General features: G+C 41.5%; 1 long non-coding RNA gene across 5 annotated transcripts in view, besides 5 other annotated features; it reads right to left on the bottom strand.

The window, feature by feature from the left end:
- The window catches only part of LINC03063 (long intergenic non-protein coding RNA 3063), a 50,602-nt gene extending 32,297 nt beyond the window's left edge, over nucleotides 1–18,305 (bottom strand). For 3 of the 5 annotated variants that reach the window (NR_187222.1, NR_187224.1, NR_187220.1), the window contains exons 1-2: nucleotides 18,172–18,305; nucleotides 9,599–9,789 (exon numbers count right to left, since the gene is read on the bottom strand). This is a non-coding gene — a long non-coding RNA (long intergenic non-protein coding RNA 3063). The remainder of the gene's footprint in view (nucleotides 1–9,598; nucleotides 9,790–18,171) is intronic. The other 2 variants (NR_187223.1, NR_187221.1) reach the window with 1 other exon arrangement.
- Nucleotides 6,290–6,479: an enhancer, noted in NCBI's record as "active region_15588". NCBI's record gives its function as "activates an Ori minimal core promoter by ATAC-STARR-seq in GM12878 lymphoblastoid cells {active_cell/tissue: GM12878}" and the evidence as "EXISTENCE:reporter gene assay evidence [ECO:0000049][PMID:35858748]".
- Nucleotides 9,544–9,603: an enhancer, noted in NCBI's record as "active region_15587". NCBI's record gives its function as "activates an Ori minimal core promoter by ATAC-STARR-seq in GM12878 lymphoblastoid cells {active_cell/tissue: GM12878}" and the evidence as "EXISTENCE:reporter gene assay evidence [ECO:0000049][PMID:35858748]".
- Nucleotides 9,704–10,013: an enhancer, noted in NCBI's record as "active region_15586". NCBI's record gives its function as "activates an Ori minimal core promoter by ATAC-STARR-seq in GM12878 lymphoblastoid cells {active_cell/tissue: GM12878}" and the evidence as "EXISTENCE:reporter gene assay evidence [ECO:0000049][PMID:35858748]".
- Nucleotides 18,162–18,520: a transcriptional cis regulatory region, noted in NCBI's record as "candidate enhancer chr2.1476 targeted for multiplex CRISPR interference". NCBI's record gives its function as "positively regulates CDC42EP3 gene expression with high confidence in K562 cells {active_cell/tissue: K562}" and the evidence as "EXISTENCE:mutant phenotype evidence [ECO:0000015][PMID:30612741]".
- Nucleotides 18,678–19,274: a transcriptional cis regulatory region, noted in NCBI's record as "candidate enhancer chr2.1475 targeted for multiplex CRISPR interference". NCBI's record gives its function as "positively regulates CDC42EP3 gene expression with high confidence in K562 cells {active_cell/tissue: K562}" and the evidence as "EXISTENCE:mutant phenotype evidence [ECO:0000015][PMID:30612741]".

The raw sequence follows: 19,837 nt of genomic DNA, 5'->3' as shown, positions 1-19,837 counted from the left end.
CTATAATCATAAATGTGATGCTGAGACCAACAAGATTTCTCTTTGCAGCCATCACTGTTATCATTTAATATTTTGTAAGTTTCCACTGGAATATTAGTAAGTATTCTTCCTTTCTGGTGACCAAATGAATAAAAGCTGTTTTATAGCAGGCATTTCTTCCACTTGCTGAAGAGTGACTTCCACTAAAACCTCAACATCACAGGCATAAGAAAGGCAAAGGACAACGTGTGAAAACTTGGTTCACCTGCCTAGTGTGAACTAACTTCACATTATGAAAACAGTCACAAATCTACAAACCAAATGGGAACACATTCCCTTCCTCCCTCCTGTCATGCCAAGGCTGAGTTTTGTTTTCAAATATCAACCAGGCAGATGAAGAGGGAAAGTAAACAAAGGTATTTTAACACTTCCAAATCACAGTTTTCTTTTCTGTAAAATTGAGGTAATAAAATACAACATCAGTTGCACACGTGAAATTAGTTAAGAATCACAGACTTTTGGAAGGACTTGGAATGGCTTTTAGCAACTATGTGGCTAGTCCATTTTCACACTGCTGATAAAGACCTACCGGAGACTGGGAAATTCACACACAAAAAAGAGGTTTATTGGACTTACAGTTCCACATGGCTGGGGAGGCCTCACAATCATGGTGGAAGGCAAGGAGGAGCAAGTCACATCTTATGTGGATGGCAGCAGACAAAGAGAGAGAGAGCTTGTGCAGGGAAACTCCCATTTTTTTTTAAACCATCAGATCTTGTGAAACTTATTCACTATCATGAGGACAGCACAGGAAAGACCCACGCCCATGATTCAGTTCTCTCCCACTGGGTCCCTCCCACAATATGTGGGAATTATGGGAGCTACAAGATAAGATTTGGGTGGGGACACAGAGCCAAACCATATTACATGGGGTTGCTAGGGAATACAGGGATCCCATACTCCTTCTCCAACGATAACAGCTCCATATTTGTCTGTTCAATATATGGGATTATGCTTTCAATTTCACCTTAAAGGAAGGTTCTGACACCAAAACCTTTTAAAACTCCTTGAATGAATATAGCGATCACAAAGACTTAGGTTCAAAATCCAGGCCTCCCACTTACAAGACTTGTACAAGTTAGTTAATGTGGTCTACTCTCACTTTCCTCCTTATAAGATGGGGTTGACTATCAACACAGGTCCCCATACATCAGAAGGCCGGTGTGAGGAAGAGATGATCAAATAAGATGATAGATATGTCAGCACTATGTAAACATCAAAGTTTCGTAGAACAAAGTGCTATCTTAGCATTATTTATTGTATAATACTGGCAGTTTGAGTATGGCATTGGCACTGGAAATAGATGAAAAAATTAGATAGGTGAAGACAGGCACAGGAAATTCCAGAGAGGTGTCAGTCAGCATGTGTTCTGTCTGCATGGGGCCCCATGGAGATGAGCAATGCAGAGGCCCAGCTAAGTCCAGGCACAATGCTGCATCACGTCTGACCCAGCTCCCTGGCACAGGGACTTAGCTGTGGGGAAGTGGGCACATTGGTTGCATGGGCTGAATGTTTATGTCCCTCTAAAATTCATGAGTTGAAATCTAATTCCCAATGTGTTGGCATTAAAAGGCAGGCCTTTGGGAGGTGACCAGGTCATGAGGGTGGAGTCCTAATGAATGGGATTAGTGCCCTTATAAAGAGGACTGAGGAAGCTTTTCCCCTTTTGCCATGTGAAGACCCAGCAAAACGACTCCATCTATGAGGAATGGACCCTCACCAGACACTGAACCTGCCAGCACCTTAATCTTGGACATCCCAGCCTCCAGAAATGTGATAAATAAATTTCTGTTGTTTATAAATTACCCAGTCTGTGGTATTCTGTTGTAGCAGCCCAAACAGACTAAGACGTGGGTGAATTTAAATAGCTACACCATTGTGAGCACATGAGGCAATTTTGACATGGGTTAACTATTTTCTAGTGGTGGTTATGGGGTCCTCCAGCCCAAGAGGGTGCATCTAAGCTCTTATCCTGGCAAGGATTTAGGAGCAAGAAGAGTAACTCGGGTGGGAACACTGTGCTGTGGCAGCAGCTGCCTGGTTTCTACCGCAATAACAGGCCTCCAGCCATGGTGGCAGCAACAGTCACATGGTGGATACTTCTGAAATGTGTGGTCCCCCAGACTGAGTCCTCTAGCCTCAAAGAGAAGTTTCTGGGTTCCCACTCCAATAAAAGCATGAGATTGGAGCAACCACCTTGTGGCTGGATTAAGTGTTTAGGGTTCTTTTATAGGAGGAAACACTCTGGTAATGAACAATGTTTGTGCAATAGTGGGACAGGACTCAGGGTCCTTTTAATTTAAATATTTAAAGAGATGTGACCTTATTATCTTCAAGATGGTGAAGTACACAGCAAGTGCAAATATAAAGATATCTTCCTATTCCAAAAGGAGATATTTATAAAGATTTTTAACATAATCCTTCATGCTAACCAGCAAATAAAATTCACTTAAGATGAATTAGGTCCACCTAACACTTACTTATTAATAATGTTAGTATTACTATGTAATAGTAATAATATTAGGTATTATGCTATTTGCTAGGTATATAAAGATGAATAATACATGTTTCCTATTCATGAGAAGCTGATGGTCTCTGGCCACCATCTGACTATTGGGAATGTTTACCACTGGCATCACCTGGCCAAAATACTTTGCCCAAGGCCTATCACCAACTCATGAGACAAGCCTCTGAATGGCATTGTTTTTAACAGATTCAACAAGTGTTGTCATAATTGCAACATGATGCCGACAATGGTAAAAAATGGTACCAACATCACGTCCTTGCTTGTTAATTAGGTACCCTGGTAAAACCAAAGGGTCTAGTAGCCTTGCCTCACTTTCTCTTTCACTAAAACAGCTTTGGTATTGGATGAGGGGGAAGCCACGGACATAAGATAGAGAGATTCTAGATCAAGGAGAGACATTTTACTTCTAAAGTTGAGCATCCTGGTCACTGGCTGGTACAGGTAGGATAGGGGACAGCTTTCTTTCTTACTTCCTTTCCTTTAGATCAGGTGTTTACAACCTGGAGTACTGAGAACACTGAACTTCCTAGGGTCATATACAATATTGTATGGGGATGGTATTTTATTGAGTCATTAATGTCTGCCTTATTTAGTTTTTGTCTGTAGAGGAATAAAAGGGCACTTTTCCCTTCCTCCTTCTAGAGAGATAGCCGTTCTTCACTTTTCAGTGCTCTTTGGACTCAGTTCTGCCCAGGAGACTACCACTATCCATTTCTTTGCTGGAGGCAGAGGGCAGACATGGAATTGCCCTAGAAGAGGGAAGACAAAGGGAATATGGCTGGTTTGTAGGGGTGAGGTAGCTTCATGAAGCTACTACAGGGTGGTTCCTGAAAACAGATCTGGGGTAGAGACTGAGGCGAGAGGTGCTGTCCATGTAAGATCTGGTGGTGGGGCTCACACAGAGTACAGCAGAGGTATTAAGTCCTCATCTAAGTTGAGTGTGTGCTTCCTGCTATGCACCTGGAGAGTCTGAACGCTAGTGCTGCAGTCTGAGGGCCTGAGCACAGATCCCTGAGCAGAACCACACATCATCAGCAGTACCCCTGAATGAAGAACAAAATCCCGAGAGTATGGAACGAAATCCTGCTGCCCTTCCCAGCATTTCTGGACCAGGTTTCCTGTATGATCCCAAGTGAAGAGTGAGGAAGAATAAGAAAGGCCCTCCTTGGATTTCTCAACCACCTGGTGGGTGGAAGGCTGAGTCAGAGACAATTGGCAAAAATCAAGGATGAGGCTTGTCCTATATTTCCAAGACTGTAGAACAAATGCAAACCAATTACAGGCATGTTCACTTTTTTGTTGCTGTTTTTTGAGACAGGGTCTCACTGTGTTGCCCAGGCTGGAGTGAAGTGGCACAATCATAGCTCACTGCAGCCTTAAACTCCTGGGCTCAAGTGATCCTCCTGCCTCAGCCTCCCAAAGTGCTAGAATTACACGCATGAGCCACTGTGACTAGCAGTACTTATTTTTAAAAAAGAGGAAAACTGCTGAGACCTTTTATCAGATACTTAAAGGTATCTATGACCTAAAAAGAGTTAAAAGCCTCCACTTCAGGAGATAGAGGGTGATTTTAGGTTGGGCTACCTGAGATGTGGATTCAGGGTTTGTGAGCAAGTGATTTATTAAGACTGCTTCTCAGGACTGCCATTCGACCCAGGAATCTCATTACTGAGTATACACCCAGAAGAATATAAAGCATTCCACCATAAAGACACATGCACAGAAATGTTCACTGCAGCACTCTTCACACTAGCAAAGACATGGAAGCAACCTAAATGCCAATCAATGACAGACTGGATAAAGAAAATGTGGTACATATACACGATGGAATATTATGCAGCCATAAAAAAGAACAAGATCATGTCTTCTGTGGGAATATGGATGGAGCTGGAACCTGTCATCCTTAGCAAACTAACACAGGAACAGAAAACCAAATACTGCATGTTCTCACTTACAAGCAGGAGCTAAATGATAAGAACACAAAGAAGGAAACAACAGAAACTGGAGTCTACCTGAGAGGGGAGGGTGGGAGGAGGGAGAGGAGCAGAAAAGATAACTATTGGGTACTGAGCTTAATATCTGAGTGATGAAATAGTATGTACAACAAACCCCTGTGACACCCATTTATCTATGTAACAAACTTTCACATGTACCCCCAAACCTAAAATAAAAATTTAAGTCAGGGAGGACAGCAGGAAGGGGAGGAAGCCAAACAAGGGTGTTGTTGCAGGCAAGTCCTACAGAGGGTAGTCTTGGCCTGATCCTGCAGGGGACCTCTGGAGTGTAAGTTATGCCTCCAATTTGTACCAGAGGCAAGAAAAGCAAGAGCACTGGGCTTTCATACCTACCTCACTTGTAGGCCATTCATCAAGGCCACAAGCGGGGTGGAGAGAATAAATGCCCAGGTGCTGTGGCTGGAGGGGCTCTCTGCACAGGCCCTGGCAACCTGAAAGCAGTTCTCGAAAGAGCTTCAGAAGCCGTGAGTTAGAAGCAAATGCACAGCAAAGGGGTATATGAGTGTACACGAAAATGGTAAAGAAAAAAAGATCACCCGGGCACAGTGGCTTATGTCTGTAATCCCAACACTTTGGGAGGCCGAGACAGGTGGATCACGAGGTCAGGAGTTCGAGACCAGCCTGACCAACATGGTGAAACTCCACCTCTACTAAAAATACAAAACTCATCCAGGAGTGGTGGCGCGTGCCTGTAATCCCAGCTACTCAGGAGGCTGAGGCAGGAGAATCACTCGAACCTAGGAGGCAGAGGTTGCAGTGAGCTGAGATGGCGCCACTGCACACCAGCCTAGGTGACAGAGGGAGACTCCACCTCAAAAAGAAAAAAGATCCTGGGAGGTCTGACTGGGAGCACCAACGTCATCCACTGCTCCTCTGAAAAGAGTTGTTCTTAAAAATGCAATTTCCACTGGGAGGCCGAGGTGGGTGGATCACGAGGTCAGGAGATCAAGACCATCCTGGCCAACATGTTGAAACCCTGTCTCTACTAAAAATACAAAAATTAGCTGGGCGTGGTGGCACATACCTGTAATCCCAGCTACTTGGGAGGCTGAGGCAGGAGAATCGCTTGAACCCGGGAGGCGAGGGTGTCGTGAGCCGAGATTGCACCACTGCACTCCAGCCTAGTAACAGATCAAGACTCCGTCTCAAAAAAAAAAAAAAAGCAACTGCAATTGCAACTGGAGAGCCAAGGACTTGGCACCCCAAGCATAGCCATGAGGACACTAAGGAAAGAGAAAATCTAGCAGAGAGCAGGGCCTAGAAGAGGGAGACAAAGTGTGTTAGGAAGAGAACACAAATCCAGCACAAATACATCTATTAGTCCAGTGGATGTGCTCCCAGTCCATCAGGAAAATGTCTCCTCACCAGACATCAGTTGTCCCTGTTTTGGGACGGAGTCTTGCTCTGTCACTAGGCTGGAGTGCAATGGCGTGATCTCGGCTCACTGCAACGTCTGTCTCCCGGGTTCAAGCAATTCCCCTGCCTCAGCATCCAGAGTAGCTGGGACCACAGGCACTTGCCACCACATCCAGCTAATTTTTGTATTTTTTGTAGAGTCAGTGTTTCACCATTTGTCCAGACTAGTCTCAAACTCCCAGGCTCAAATGACCCACTTGCACGTCACCTTCCCAAAGTGTTGGGATTGCAGGTGCGAGCCAATGCACCCAGCCCTATTTATTCTTTATTCACATTCCTCCTGTGTAGCATTTTCCCCACTTGCTTTATCCCCTCACTCAGAGCTTTCCCATCACTCAGAGCTTCTCGGTGTCTATTTATTTCTTCATTCGAGTCCCAGCCTCTGGTTATTTTTTACTGGGCCTTGCTCCCCTGTCTCCTCCTGCTCATAGCCCCTTCTCCAGCATCTCTCTCTTCCCGGGTCACCTCATCAGTATCTTTTTCTTCTATAACGTAGAGAAACATATTCCTTTTTGTTTCAGTCCTAGCCCAGTCAAGCTATGGTCAGTAGGTCTCATTTTCATAACCAAACATGCCCATATAAGGTGTGTTCTGAAGCAAAGGCAGTTCTCTTCCTGAGTCTGCAGTTGGTACTTCATGTGACTTCTCCCCTCCCCATTACATACAGCATATATAAATATATATGTAATATGTACACACACATACTCATGCATATGGAAACTGAGGCCCAGAGAGATGGCAACTTGCCTGAGGCTGCTTAACTGGCTAGTGACAGAACCATGACAAGAACTTAAATTCTTAACTCCTTTTTAAGTGTTCATTGCCTCTGAACACACTGCCTTCTGAGCGTTCAAGCATTTTATATCAATGGTAATAAACAAAAAATAGTTTAGTGGGAAAGGCAATTTAAGCTAAGTGCCAAATGCATTCCATAGATATATAATTTATTTTCTGAATCTATGGGGCTAAGGCACATAGTATAAATATGAGGAAACAGAAATTAGCATAAATCTTGAAATAAAGTTGCCTTTCCATTACATATGGTAACAGATGATTCTACAGGGCTAAAAGAGACTGTTTAGGGGGACTACTCATTTGAAAACCTTGTAGTATCAGTAAAAATACTTTCTGTGCTCAATATTTTCTTACTGATTTCATCACAAACATAAAATCATGAATCATAAAGCTGGAAGGAATTTCAGTTAGATCATCTGATTCACTTCTCCACCTTCAAACAGAAAGGGGTATCCTTATCCCCATTTCCAGAGGAATTAGGTAGTTGCCAGAAGTACTAGTATTGGCTTAAGGGCAACTTAGAGTCCTGTTTCTCTACTGCTTCATTTTCCAGAAGCCACATCTAACGTGGTCTTTTGCAAATTGCAAACCGCTTTTCACACATTTTACTTGTGATAATCCTCATAGCAACCTTATATGACAGGTCAATTATTACCTCATTTTTACAGGTGGGGAAATTAAAGCTTGGAGAGATTAAGTCACTTGCCTAAAAGCACCCCACTAGTATATGACGGTTAAGACTGAAATCCAAATCTTCCATCTCCAAATCCCATGCTCTCTCTTTACAATTCTATTCAGACTGTACTAGAGGAGGTGGTTTGTGTTGGCACACTGGTTTGGACGTTATAGACAATGAGAAAACATGGCTGAACTGTCAGTCACTGCAAGAGGGATCTTATTTTTATCTAATAGGAGGTCTTGGCTGGACAGGAACTGAGTCTCAAATACTTCCAGTGACTGGGTGGTAACTCCATGTCAGACGCTGTTCCAGGTGTCCAGGATAGATCAGTGACCAACACAGAAAGGTCTCTGGCCCCTGGAATTTACATTCTAGTGGATGAGACGGACGTGAAACAAATAATGAAATATAAAATATGTCAAGTGATGTTAAGTGCTATGGAAAAACTAAAACAGAATAGACGTGTGTGTGTGTGTGTGTGTGTGTGTGTGTGACAGAGTGTGTAAGGAGAATAGGAATTACATTTTATATATATGTAAGGTGTTTAGGAAATTTCATCAGATAAGGTCACATTTGAGAAGATCCCTAAAATAGGTGAAGGAGAAAATTTCATGGAGATCTGGGAAAACATATTCTGGATAGAGAAAAATCACAAATGCAAAGACACTAGAGTATGAGTTTAGTGAATCTGAGGAACAGGAAGAAGGCCAGTGTGTCTGGGAAGGTTTAGCCACCATGTACTTGCCTTCATTGAGCAAAAACATCCATAAGAGAAAAAACAAGTGCACGTCTTTGAAACATAAAAAATAACACAGGGTAAAAATGAGTGTTATAAAGAGGCATAAATCAAGTACTATGGGATTTCAGAGGAAGTAAAGGAGGCTTGGAATCCCAGAGAACCAGCACTTAATTCTCTATTCCAAGGTTTTCCTTTTTGTCTGAACTGTAAAATATACCATTTTCAAACTTATCTTATGTGGATTGCCAATATGAAAACAAATGAAATCAGACTACTCTAGTGAAGTGAAGGGGTGGAGGAGGTTTAGCCTTCCCAAGTTGGCCTTACTCTTTCTCATCACCAGCCACAGAAGAACCTTCATGGAACCCTGGGGCCTAGGAAACAAAGTTTGCCAGCAACAGATCTAGTCAAACTAGCTCATTTTACAAAAGAGGAATCTGAAGCCGATAGTGGGAATCTTCTTCTGGCCTCTACTGGAGTGAAGTCTCCCTGGTCTTCTGGGCTGGCCTCTGCCGCTAATGACCATAGAAACTGCTTCAGCTTCCAGTCTGAAGTTCCCACCTCCTTGTGTTGAACCTTGGCCTGACTGACTTGGAACTCCATTCTCTCTGCCTGTGGACCAATGCATTCACCTATGGGACCCATGCATTCATCATTTCTAGGGGCAGTCTGAGACCGTTGAAACAAGGAAGTCACTGCTCAGATTTGCATTGCAAATTAGATTTTGAGTCCAAAGGAAGACAATAGTCCTGAAAATTAGATTTATTGGGAGAATGTACCTCTTGAACACACAGAGATAATGACAATGAAACTGCTCTACGCTTACACCCTGAAAATGACAAGCACATCCTTGACATCATCCTTCGCATATGATGCACTTCTTTGCTTAAAATAACCTCCTTTTTAATAAATTCTACTCATCTTTCGAAGAAGCTAAATTCTCTTTCCCTGTGATGCGTTCTCAGACTTTCCCAAGCAGAATCAATCAACCCTCCATCTGTGTTCCTGTAGCACTTTTTTTCATACATTTATTATAGCCCTCATCTTATTGCATTAGAAAAATGTGTTTACATATTTTTCTTCCACTGACTCTGAGTTTCTGTTGTGAATAAGAAATATGTCTCACTCATACTGATGCCTCAGCTGCTGCTAACAGTGTTCTGGCGTTTGATACATTTGCTGATTGGCATTGTAATTCAGTACTGGCTGAGGTTATGAGAAATGAGTGTCCTTCTCAGCCATAGACTTTTTTAGAAGTTGCCAACCAGTGACAAACCATTATTAATTATTTGCTTGTCAACTTGATAAGTTATTGAAAAGTAAAATGACTGTGTGAATATCCTGTTACTGATCATTGAAAGTTTCTGATGGACAGTCCCGGCACTCACCCTTGGTCTGTTTCAGTCACAAGCCTTCTTACACATTTTTCTGTTTGCTCATCCATGCTGGATCTGTTCTGAGGCAGACACGTTGCTATGACCAACGCAGCCAGCAATGACACATTCTCCCTCATGCCTGGCCACAGCCCCTGGTAACTGTCAGCCTTGCAGATATGACTGACAAGAGTAGAAAGTAAAATCTGTGGGAAAAAATATGAAATCAGGTTCCAGTTCTCACTCCCTCATTACGTAAAAATGATACCATGTTTAGTGAGTGTTGTGTGGTGAATCTCACATGATCCTGAGACAGAAGGGGCTTTACCAGGAGAGAAGTGATTTTTCTGACAGATACATGAGCCTCGGTAATGGTGCCATTCAGCACTGAAAGGCAAACTTAAGTTCCCTTTGCCAAATTCACACTGCACATCAAAGCTACAGGGAAGGGTCAGTCCTTTTCAACAACTGCAACGTAACTAAAGCCGCTTCGTTTGCAGGAGTTCATAAAAACTAGATTATCCCAGATCCATTTTCTTAAACCAAGAACAAAACAACCTCAGTAGTAGAAAATGTCAGCTCTCACATGTCCACTGATCTTTGCCTCATCATCTAAGACTTTTTAGATTTTGTGTTGAAATACAGCTTCCCCTACCAACAGGTCTGCCCAATCATTTTTAGCCCAACTTTATAGTTAAGAGTTCAAAGTACAATATTCTTGCTTTCATGTATAAGCATTTATTTGATCACATGGGATTTACCACGTTTATTGTCAAACAATTGATCTTTTCTTCTTAAATTCCTCTAGGATTTCCATCTAGTTGATGTGGTTTTCATGTTTCTAACAGAAACAGCAAATAAGAACACAAGAGAGAAATGTTTGTATCTTGTTGAAATGTGGAGTATTCAGGGTTATCACTAAAAGGCATTTGAGACATGACCACACAGAAAAGAGAATCCAGGGAACTGTTTGGGAAGACAAATCACATTAAGGGTGTTTATTTGGATTTCTAAAATTTCCCTTTCTCTGGTTTTATTTACATTTCATTAATATGAAGTGATTCAACCTGAGTAACATTTTGTCCTACATAGCTTACTGATTTGACTTTTGCAAGCAGCCGGACACCAAGAGTGGCCCTAAACAAGTTCTTGGTTGATGCAAAGCTCCACACGTATTGAATCAGATAACTGTAAATGAAAATTGCCCTTTAAATGTAATCTCTCAAAATCACTAGAGTTCATTTCCCCTAGAGAAGCAGATAGCTTACGCACATTCCCTTAGGAAGGGGATCAAGTTTGTTACCTATAAAACTAAGAAGGCAGAACTGCTGTCAAGGGCAGGAGTTGAACTGTACAGTTTTAATTCCTAAACTGGACCCAATTCAATGGGCTTTGGTCTTGATCTTTTCCAATTTATGTTAACTAAGTCCTAATTAAGCAGAGTTCATTTTAAAGAAGTCAGATGCCAAGTCTTGTCTTTTCTACCTAGACTTTCAATATTGCAGAGCTTTTTCTTAATTAAGGTGAAGAATTCCTTTTGGCTTTCACAGGCAGAATTTTCCACTTGTTCCATTTAGAGTGCCAGTTGGCTTTCACGCTCTGCAACCATGTGCCTCTGGCACAGCTGGAAAATTTATGAACTTCTGTGGGATTAAAAAGGTGCTATATCCTTGGGAAACGTTCCTAATAACCTGAATTCCTATTTCTTCTCACCAGTGATCAATCTTTTCCAAGTAATAACTAGCAAGTGAGCAGTAAAGGCAGGGAACAATGAGATGTCAGCAGCAATGTTCCCAGAGAGATGTCCTCTCTCCCTAACCCCAGAGCTTGAATCCAACAAAGACTGATATGGGCAGTCTTTAGCCAGAGCTCTGGCTCCTATTTTGGTACCCAGGGGCAACTTGCAGATAAAGGAGAGATGGATCCTAGGCTGCCCTTATGGCTGCCTAGAATGTGATGGCTCAGTAGGAATGGCATCCCTTAAAGATTGCTAGGCACCAGAGCTAGAAGCAGAAGACCCAGTTCTAGATCCTCTTCTCCCACTGTATAATTATGAGACCTTGAAACAGCTCTCAGAATACTTCTCCAAGCCTTGGTTGTCTCACCTGTAAATAGAATATGACTAGACCACTGCTTCTCAAACTAAATGTGTAATGAAGGAACACATTTTTCCTTTCTTCCCCCCACCCCAATCTATTGTAGACTGTGTTTTTGTGAAATACAATAAAAAAATGAATTACCAGAAGAATGATGTTTGGAAGGTGCAGCAATGTCAAATTTCTATAAGAATTCTAAATGCTTACCCATACTTTCTGTACTTATCTGGCCAAAAAAAGGTAACAGTGTCTGGGCCAGCAGCAGTGCAAGGACCACACTTCGCAGAGCAATCAATCAGATGATATCTTAGGCACCTCCTGGCTCTCATAGTTTCCACTTCCTGTAGCCTGCCTGCCTCTCCACTAGATTTGCCCAAGCACCCAAATGCTAAGCTTGGTGACAAGACCAAAATTATGCTTCCGGGGTGACTTTGTCTGTTAGAGCTTCTTTTACAACATACTGTAAATTGGGTTACCTATAAACAACAAATATATTTCTCACAGTTCTAGAGGCTGAGAAGTCCAAGATCAGGATGCCAGAGGATTTGCCATCTGATGAGGGGCTTCTTCCTAGTTCACAGATGGCCGTCATCTCACTGTGTTCTCACATGGTGGAAGAAGTGAGGGCTCTCTAATTCCATTCAAGAGGGTTTCACCTTCATGCCCTAATCACCTCCAAGGGCTCCAAATACCATCATATTGGGGGTGAGAATTTTAATCTGTAAATTTGGGGTTGGGGTGGTGACACAAATATTCGGTCTGTAGTATGAAGTTGTCAACAAAGATCAAAATAACCCCTTGAACAACTAATAGTATTTCTATATCTGTGTTTCTTTCCCTATCAACCTCCCTGAACCATGATCTAGAATCCGAGCTCCACCACTTGGTATCAGGGGGCCAAAAGCAAGTTACTTAACTTCTCTGTGCCTCAGTTTTTTCATCTCTAAAATGAGAATAACATCTTCTTCATAGGGGTACTTTTGTTAAGTGTTTATTTTGATATAGTTTCAAACTTAGAGCTAGATTAGTACAAAGAAATCCTATTTCCTCATTTTTATTCTTTAATTTTTTTTTTGGAGACAGGGTCTCACTCTGTTGCCCAGGTTGGAGAGTGGTGGTACGATCTTGGCTCACTGAAGCCTCGACATTTGGGGCTCAAGCAATCCTCCCACCTCAGCATCCAGAGTAGCTGGGACCACAGGCACATGCCACCACATCCAGCTAATTTTTGTATTTTTTGTAGAGTTGGGCTTTCACCATTTGTCCAGACTAGTCTCAAACTTCCAGGCTCAAGTGACCCACCTGCGCATCACCTTCCCAAAGTGTTGGGATTGCAGGTGCGAGCCAATGCACCCAGCCCTATTTATTCTTTATTCACATTCCTCCTGTGTAGCATTTTCCCCACTTGCTTTCTCCTTCTCTTTCTTTCCCTCTCTCTGTTTTTTAAATTTTTTTTCTGAATGATTTGAGAGTAACTTGCATCCACCATGCTTATAGAATTGTTTTGAGGATTAAAGGAATTAATACATGGAAAATACTCAAAATGGTGCCTGGCTCACATAGTAAGCTCTCATAAAATAGTTCTCATGCTTGATTTTCAAAGGCCTTTCCAGACATGCAAAAGGAACCTCAAACTCTAGTGACTTGGGGGCCACTCCATGTGAAACCTCCAACAAACTGGAGGTCCACCCCTATGGCTTTGCCTTTCTCAGAGATTTATAGCTGATTCACTTATTTTCCAATGTGTTGGATTTGACCAACTTAAAACATATTTTCCATGCCATATGTAGCTAGCCTTGAACACTGGTATTAAATGTATCTGCTCTAAATTACTATATGTTATTAAATCCAAAGAACTCTGGGATTTTTCCTCCTTTTTTTGCAAAACTGCTATACTACTGTTAACATGGTATTAAATTGATCAGTAATGACTAGGAGGCCAAATCCTCACTGTGTTCTTTGGGAAAATGATAGGAACTCTGATTTCTAAGAAATTCAAGTATGACCTTAGAACAAAACTCCCCTAAGCAGCTCAAATGTCTCCTATCTCTGTTACCCAAAATGTCTCTGTCTCTGATTCAGAAACAAAATGCTGATTTACACAATGCCCCATCTAACCCTTGTGTTGGTTTAACTTTAAGCTGAACCAGAACTTTCGTCTCTCACATTCACCCTGGGTTCCTCTGCTTCCTCATTTCCTGCCTCATCCAGATCCTGCTGTGCTGAATTGAATTAAGTGTAGAAAAAATACTGATTCAGCTTCATCTTCATGTGCCCAGATTCAGCTGCAGAAAAGGACAGAAACACTACTTGGTCCACAGCAATTTTTAAAATCATTCCATGTGAGTCATATACCAAAAAGAAATCAAATCATGGAGGCATCTGGTGTCCAGAAAAGCCCACTTTTTTCTATGGCCAGAGTCTAGAAGGTCGGGTGACTCGCCCAGGGGACACGTTGCTCTTCATAGAACATTGGAACAAGGCCCATATGTCTTCCAGGCCCTCTTGCTCAAAATTACCATGTGATCAAAACAAATCCTATCGTTGTCCCAGCAGGGTTCATTGGTCTTATGAATTTGGGGACAGACAGTGCCTGGGGGAGGAAAAGGAAGCAAAGTAGATGCTTCTTCCATTCCAAGATGAATCACATATGTACAATTAGACCCAGTTTAGTTTCACATTACCCTTTCCTGGAGGAAACTATGAATATGGGACCCCCACATATATTCACAGCCCACACTGAATGCTCTGTTCCCTAGAAAACCTATAATCTATACTATACGACTTGATATTTGGTTAAGACATTTTTGCAGGACGTGTGTATCTGGTTCCCAGGACTAAGCTATCCAGTCCTAGAGAGCCAAGGTCATTGTGTTATACTTCTTAGTACCCTTCAGAGCAATCGCACAGTGTGCAACATACATAGTAGGTACAAAATGTATTTCTCTGGATTGGCTGATGTTTTATTTAAAAAAATGGGAATATTGACTGGGCATAGTGGCTCACGCCTGTAATCCTAGCAGTTTGGGAGGCCAAGGTGGGCAGATCACCTGAGGTCAAGGGTTTGAGACCAGCCTGGCCAACATGGTAAAACCCATCTCTACTAAAAATACAAAAATTAACCAGGCATGGTGGCTCATGCCTGTAAGCCCAGCTACTTGGGAGGCTGAGGCAGGAGAATTGCTTGAACCTGGGAGGTGGAAGTTGCAGTGAGCCAAGATTGTGCCACTGTACCCTAGCCTGTTTGAAAGAGCAAGACTCCGTCAAAAAAAAAAAAAAAAAAGGAAAAAATCAGTCATCCCACCCATCCCCACTGGCTAGTGGCAGATGTGCCTGCTCCTTGGCTGCAACATGGATATGCTTCCCTCCCAAAAAGAAACCAGTATCTCTGCTGCTGTCATAGACTCAGACACCTGCAGGGACAGTTCCCACTCACTGCATTCCACAAACCACTTGGTCTATACATTTTTCTACTATCACCATCTTCTTCCCAAAGAATTCAGATTGTTTACAGAGATGAGAAGACACACTGATACTCACCTGATTTATTTAAAAATCTAATGGATAGTTCCTTCAAAAGTTAAACATAGAGTTACCATTTATACTGCAATTTCTCTTCCAGGCATATACCCAGGAGAATGGAAAAACATATGCTCACACAAAAACCTGTGCATGAATAATTGTAGCAGCATTACTCATAAGAGCCAAAAAGTAGAAACAAGCCCAATGTCCATCAGCTGATGAATGGATAAACAAAATAGGGTCTATCCATATGATGGAATATTATTTGGCCATAAAAAGGAATAAAATATTGATACACGTGACAACATGGATGAACCTCAAAAACATTATTCTATGTCAATTAAGCCAAACACAAAATACCAATATTAGATAATTCCATTTACATGAAACTCCAGAATAGGCAAACCCATAGAGATAGAAAGTAGATTCATGTTGCCAGGGTTTGGGGGAAAATGACTGTTAATGAGTACAGGCTTTCCTTTTGGGGTGATGGAAAGGATATTCTGGAAAGAGAGTGATGGTTGCACATATCTACGAAAATACTAAAAACCACTGAATTGTACATTTTAACAGATGAAGTTTATGGTATGTGAATTATATGCCAATTTTTAAAAATTGATTAAGAAATAAAATAGGACACAAAACTTAAAGAACATTAAAAACTACGTTGTGAATTAAAATGAATCCCAGGGCCAATGCTGGCCTGTTGATTTTAGTGTTGCCAGAGCTGGACTTGCCTTTCTTTCTCTTTGTTTCACTCACATTTGGAACTGCAAACATAGGCTTTTCTAAAACACATTGTGTGCCTTTGCAGCTCACATCCAATGCCCAAATCGGGTCCGTCACCCAGGCTATTGGGCCTACTCTCAAGTGGGTTTTGATCTGGCCCTAATTCTATAGACAGTGTGAGCCTCGGGGATCTGGCTTCACCATTTCCACATTGTGAGTGGTGATCGTTTCTGTCAAAAATAATCATCTGTCTTTCATTGTAGTGCAGATGATACCCAAATGTTACCCTCATCCATCAAACTGTCAGGTTAATTGTTTATAAAACATCCGGAGCTGGTTGTCACAGAACATCAGCAAACTCAGACCAAATAAAACAGAATGCTCTGGTTGGATACAACCCCTGTGTGAAGCAGAGCCCTGATGACATTTATGGGAAACAAAGATTCACAAACACCTTCCTTAATCCAACGACCATCAGAAACCTAGGGGTGATGTTACCGTCCTGAGACACTGAGCAAAACTGCCCTCGAATAGCTTAGTTTTTCTCTTCCTAGAATGTTTTTCGATCATTTGAAAACTACTTCCAGTCCTAAAAGACTGAAGACAGGTAAAGTTTATGGTATGTGAATTATATATCAATGTTGGCTTTAAATTCAGCTTTTAATTTGGCTTTGTTGGCTTTAAATTTCTGCCATGGTCCAGCATGAAGATGGACAATGCAGTTTCCCTGCCTGCCTTTGCTGCAATCATGACTCTCAGACAAATATAAAAAGAATACTCATATATTTTATTTAACTTACTAATTAATAAGGTAAACAGTAAGATGTTAGGACTCATTTTTTAAAAAAATTTTGAGAATCTGGGTATCTATTTAAAAAAAATAACTGGTCCATGTCTTACCAGGCAAGAAACTTTTCAGGGATGATTCTTCCATGAGACAGAAATTTTTTGCAGCTTCTTTTGGAAAAAATCCACAAGTTAATCTTGTCTGCATAGTTTTAAAATAGGCAACCCATGGAAAATTAAACCTAGTACTTCACTGAAGAACACTCAGGACTCTCTTTTGGCTGTTTTGAAGTTTCTAGTAACTTCCTGAGAGGCCACTGCTGCCAGAACTAGGAACCAACTCAGGGAGGCTTGTGGGAACTAAGTCTTTACCACCTAGTGCTAAAAAATAAACGGAACGGTTTTTCGAAAAATACACAAAATTATCCTCAAAGCAGACGTGCAAAGGCCACTATCTCCCTCCTTCCCACAGCCCTCGGACACTCTGTGATCCAATTTCTTTACCTTAAATGTAACCCACTGTTGTTTAATGGGAAGAAGAAAGAGGAAAACAAACCTGCTAAGAAAGTGGACCAGACAAATCCAACTCAAGAATCCCCGCCCTACAAGTGTGCAGAATGAAAATACTCAAAGAGGTCTTCAACTATTTGGATGCCATGACTTCTTGAAACAGACAAATGCAATTTTGAGAGTAGTTTGAATGATTTTAGAACCTAGCAGGAATATTTGTCATAAGATAAAAAAGGCATCAACTCATTTCCCCTCCTGCCACCTCCATTCCCTGCTCTCCACCAGAGCTCCTCAAAGCTCAGGAAAGGAAGGCAAACAACAAAAAGAAACAACAACAACAAAATCAAGTTTCTAAAATTCTATTATTTATGGAAGGTAAAACTAATGACACAGCATAGTTGGGGTTTCTTACAGAATCAGTGTGCATTGCATAAGACTATTTTAAATTATGTCCTGACATGGTGGCTCATACCTGTAATCCCAGCACTTTGGGAGGCCGAGGTGGCTGGATCACTTGAGGTCAGCAGTTCGAGAACAGCCCGGCCAACATAGTGAAACCCCATCTCTACTAAAAATACAAAAGTTAGCTGGTTGTGATGGCGCATGCCTGTAATCCCAGGTACTCAGGAGGCTGAGGCAGGAGAATCACTTGAACCCGGGAGGTGGAGGTTGCAGTGAGCTGAGATCGTACCACTGCACTCCAGCCTGGGTTACAAAGTGAGACTCTGTCTCAAAAAAATAAAAAAGACTTTTAAATTATAATGAAATTTTATAGCTGTTGAATTTCTATTTTATAAATATATCTACTCTAAAGTAAAATTGTTTCTCTATAACACCTACAGGTCATATGTATGATTGTTAGGTTTATTTGCTGCTTAGTCCTTGATCAGAAATGCAACTCCCAAATATAATATAGTAGGCCCCCTTACCCATAGTTTCAGTTACCTGAGGTCAATTGTGGTCCAAAAATATTAAACGGAAAATTCCAGAAATAAATAATTCATGAATTTTAAATGGCATGCTGCTGTGAGTAGCTTGATGAAATCTCCAGCCTTCCTGCTCCGTCCCACCAAGGATGTGAATCATCCCTTTGTTCAGGGGATCCGTGCTGTCTGCCTCCCCACCCATTAGTCACTTTGTAGCCATCTAGATTATCAGATCAACTGTCACTGTACTGCAGTGCTTGTCTTGAGGAACCCTTATTTTACTCAATAATGGCCCCAAAGCACAAGAGTGATTATGGTAGCATACTGTTATAATTGTTGTATTTTATTAGTTTTTCATCTCTGTGCCTAATTTATAAATTAAACTTTATCATAGGTAGGTATGTATAGGAAAAAAACATAGCATATACAGGGTTGGGTACTATCCATGTTTCAAGCATTCACAGGGGGTCTTGGAATGTATCCCCCAGAGATGAGGGGGGACTACTGTATTCCTCATGTAGTATTTTTGTGAGACTATTCTTTTTGTGTTTTAGCATGAGGTTATCAGGAACTTGTCACTCCTGCATGGGCTCAGTTACATGGGGGAAAAATAATCCCAGAATTTCACTGGCCTCAAACAACAAAGCTATATTGCTCATTCATGCTACATGATCACCTCGGGTTGACAGGGACTCTACTTCCCTGGCCCTTACTCAGGGATTCAGGCCAATGCAGTAGCCACTATCACAAGCCTTTCTGGATATAACATCAGAAAGAAAGAAAGAAAGTGTGACTCATAGCACACTCATGCATAAAGTTTTCACCCAGGACTGACACCTGACACTTTCTCTCACGTTTCATTGGCCAAAGCAAGCCATGTGGCCATGCCTAATCTCAAAGAGGCAGGAAATGCAATCCTGAAGAAGAGAGATAAAATTCGTAACTAACACTAGTGACCACCAAAATTTGTTTTGGAAAATAGAGCCTCCTGTTTTTAAACAAGTTTTATTCTTTTAGCTACATTAAATTACCTATTAACCAGCCACATCTTGACGGTGTTAGAATTCTAAGGATGGATTTTAATCTATTAATTTAAACTTCCATTCATCTGAAACATCAACCAAATACAGATTTTTTGTGTGTGCCCTTTGTTTTAGGCAAAATGCCATAAAAATTAATAAGACAAAATCCTACAAACAGATCCCAGGTTGGGTAATTTGGTCTTGTGCCAGAAGGCACAGCTTTCTTTTCTGGAAAGGACCCAGGTTTGGGATTGGCTATAGTTCCTCTTTCCATAAAGTCTGAATCTGTCAACCTCCACAGCATAGAGGATTCATTTGTCACACCTGGCATGCATCTGAGGAATGAATTAACACTGGTGTTTTAAGGAAATTTCATTTTAGCAAATTTTGGTTAGCAGGTGATTTTGTGGTTTCAACTTTATTTCCATATAATTAATTTCCTACAGCCAGCTTAGAGTTGCTGAATCCAGACTTCAAAGCATAAAATCCCCCCGACATGGCATGGTTAGGTGCAGGTGGAACAAAAGTAGCCACTGCCAAGGATCTCAGGAGGTCAGAGGCCAGGTTCAAGGCCTTTGTGGAATGTGTACAGCAAGTGTCAGCTCGACAAGAGTCCAATAAGGAAAGAATGGTTCAGAGTCCACTCTGGCAAAAAACTGAAAA

The sequence above is a fragment of the Homo sapiens genome, chromosome 2, assembly GCF_000001405.40.
Source record: "Homo sapiens chromosome 2, GRCh38.p14 Primary Assembly".
Lineage (NCBI taxonomy): Eukaryota > Metazoa > Chordata > Mammalia > Primates > Hominidae > Homo > Homo sapiens.
The sequence above is the reverse complement of the archived record's forward strand: the minus strand, read 5'-3'. Positions and strand labels throughout refer to the sequence as shown.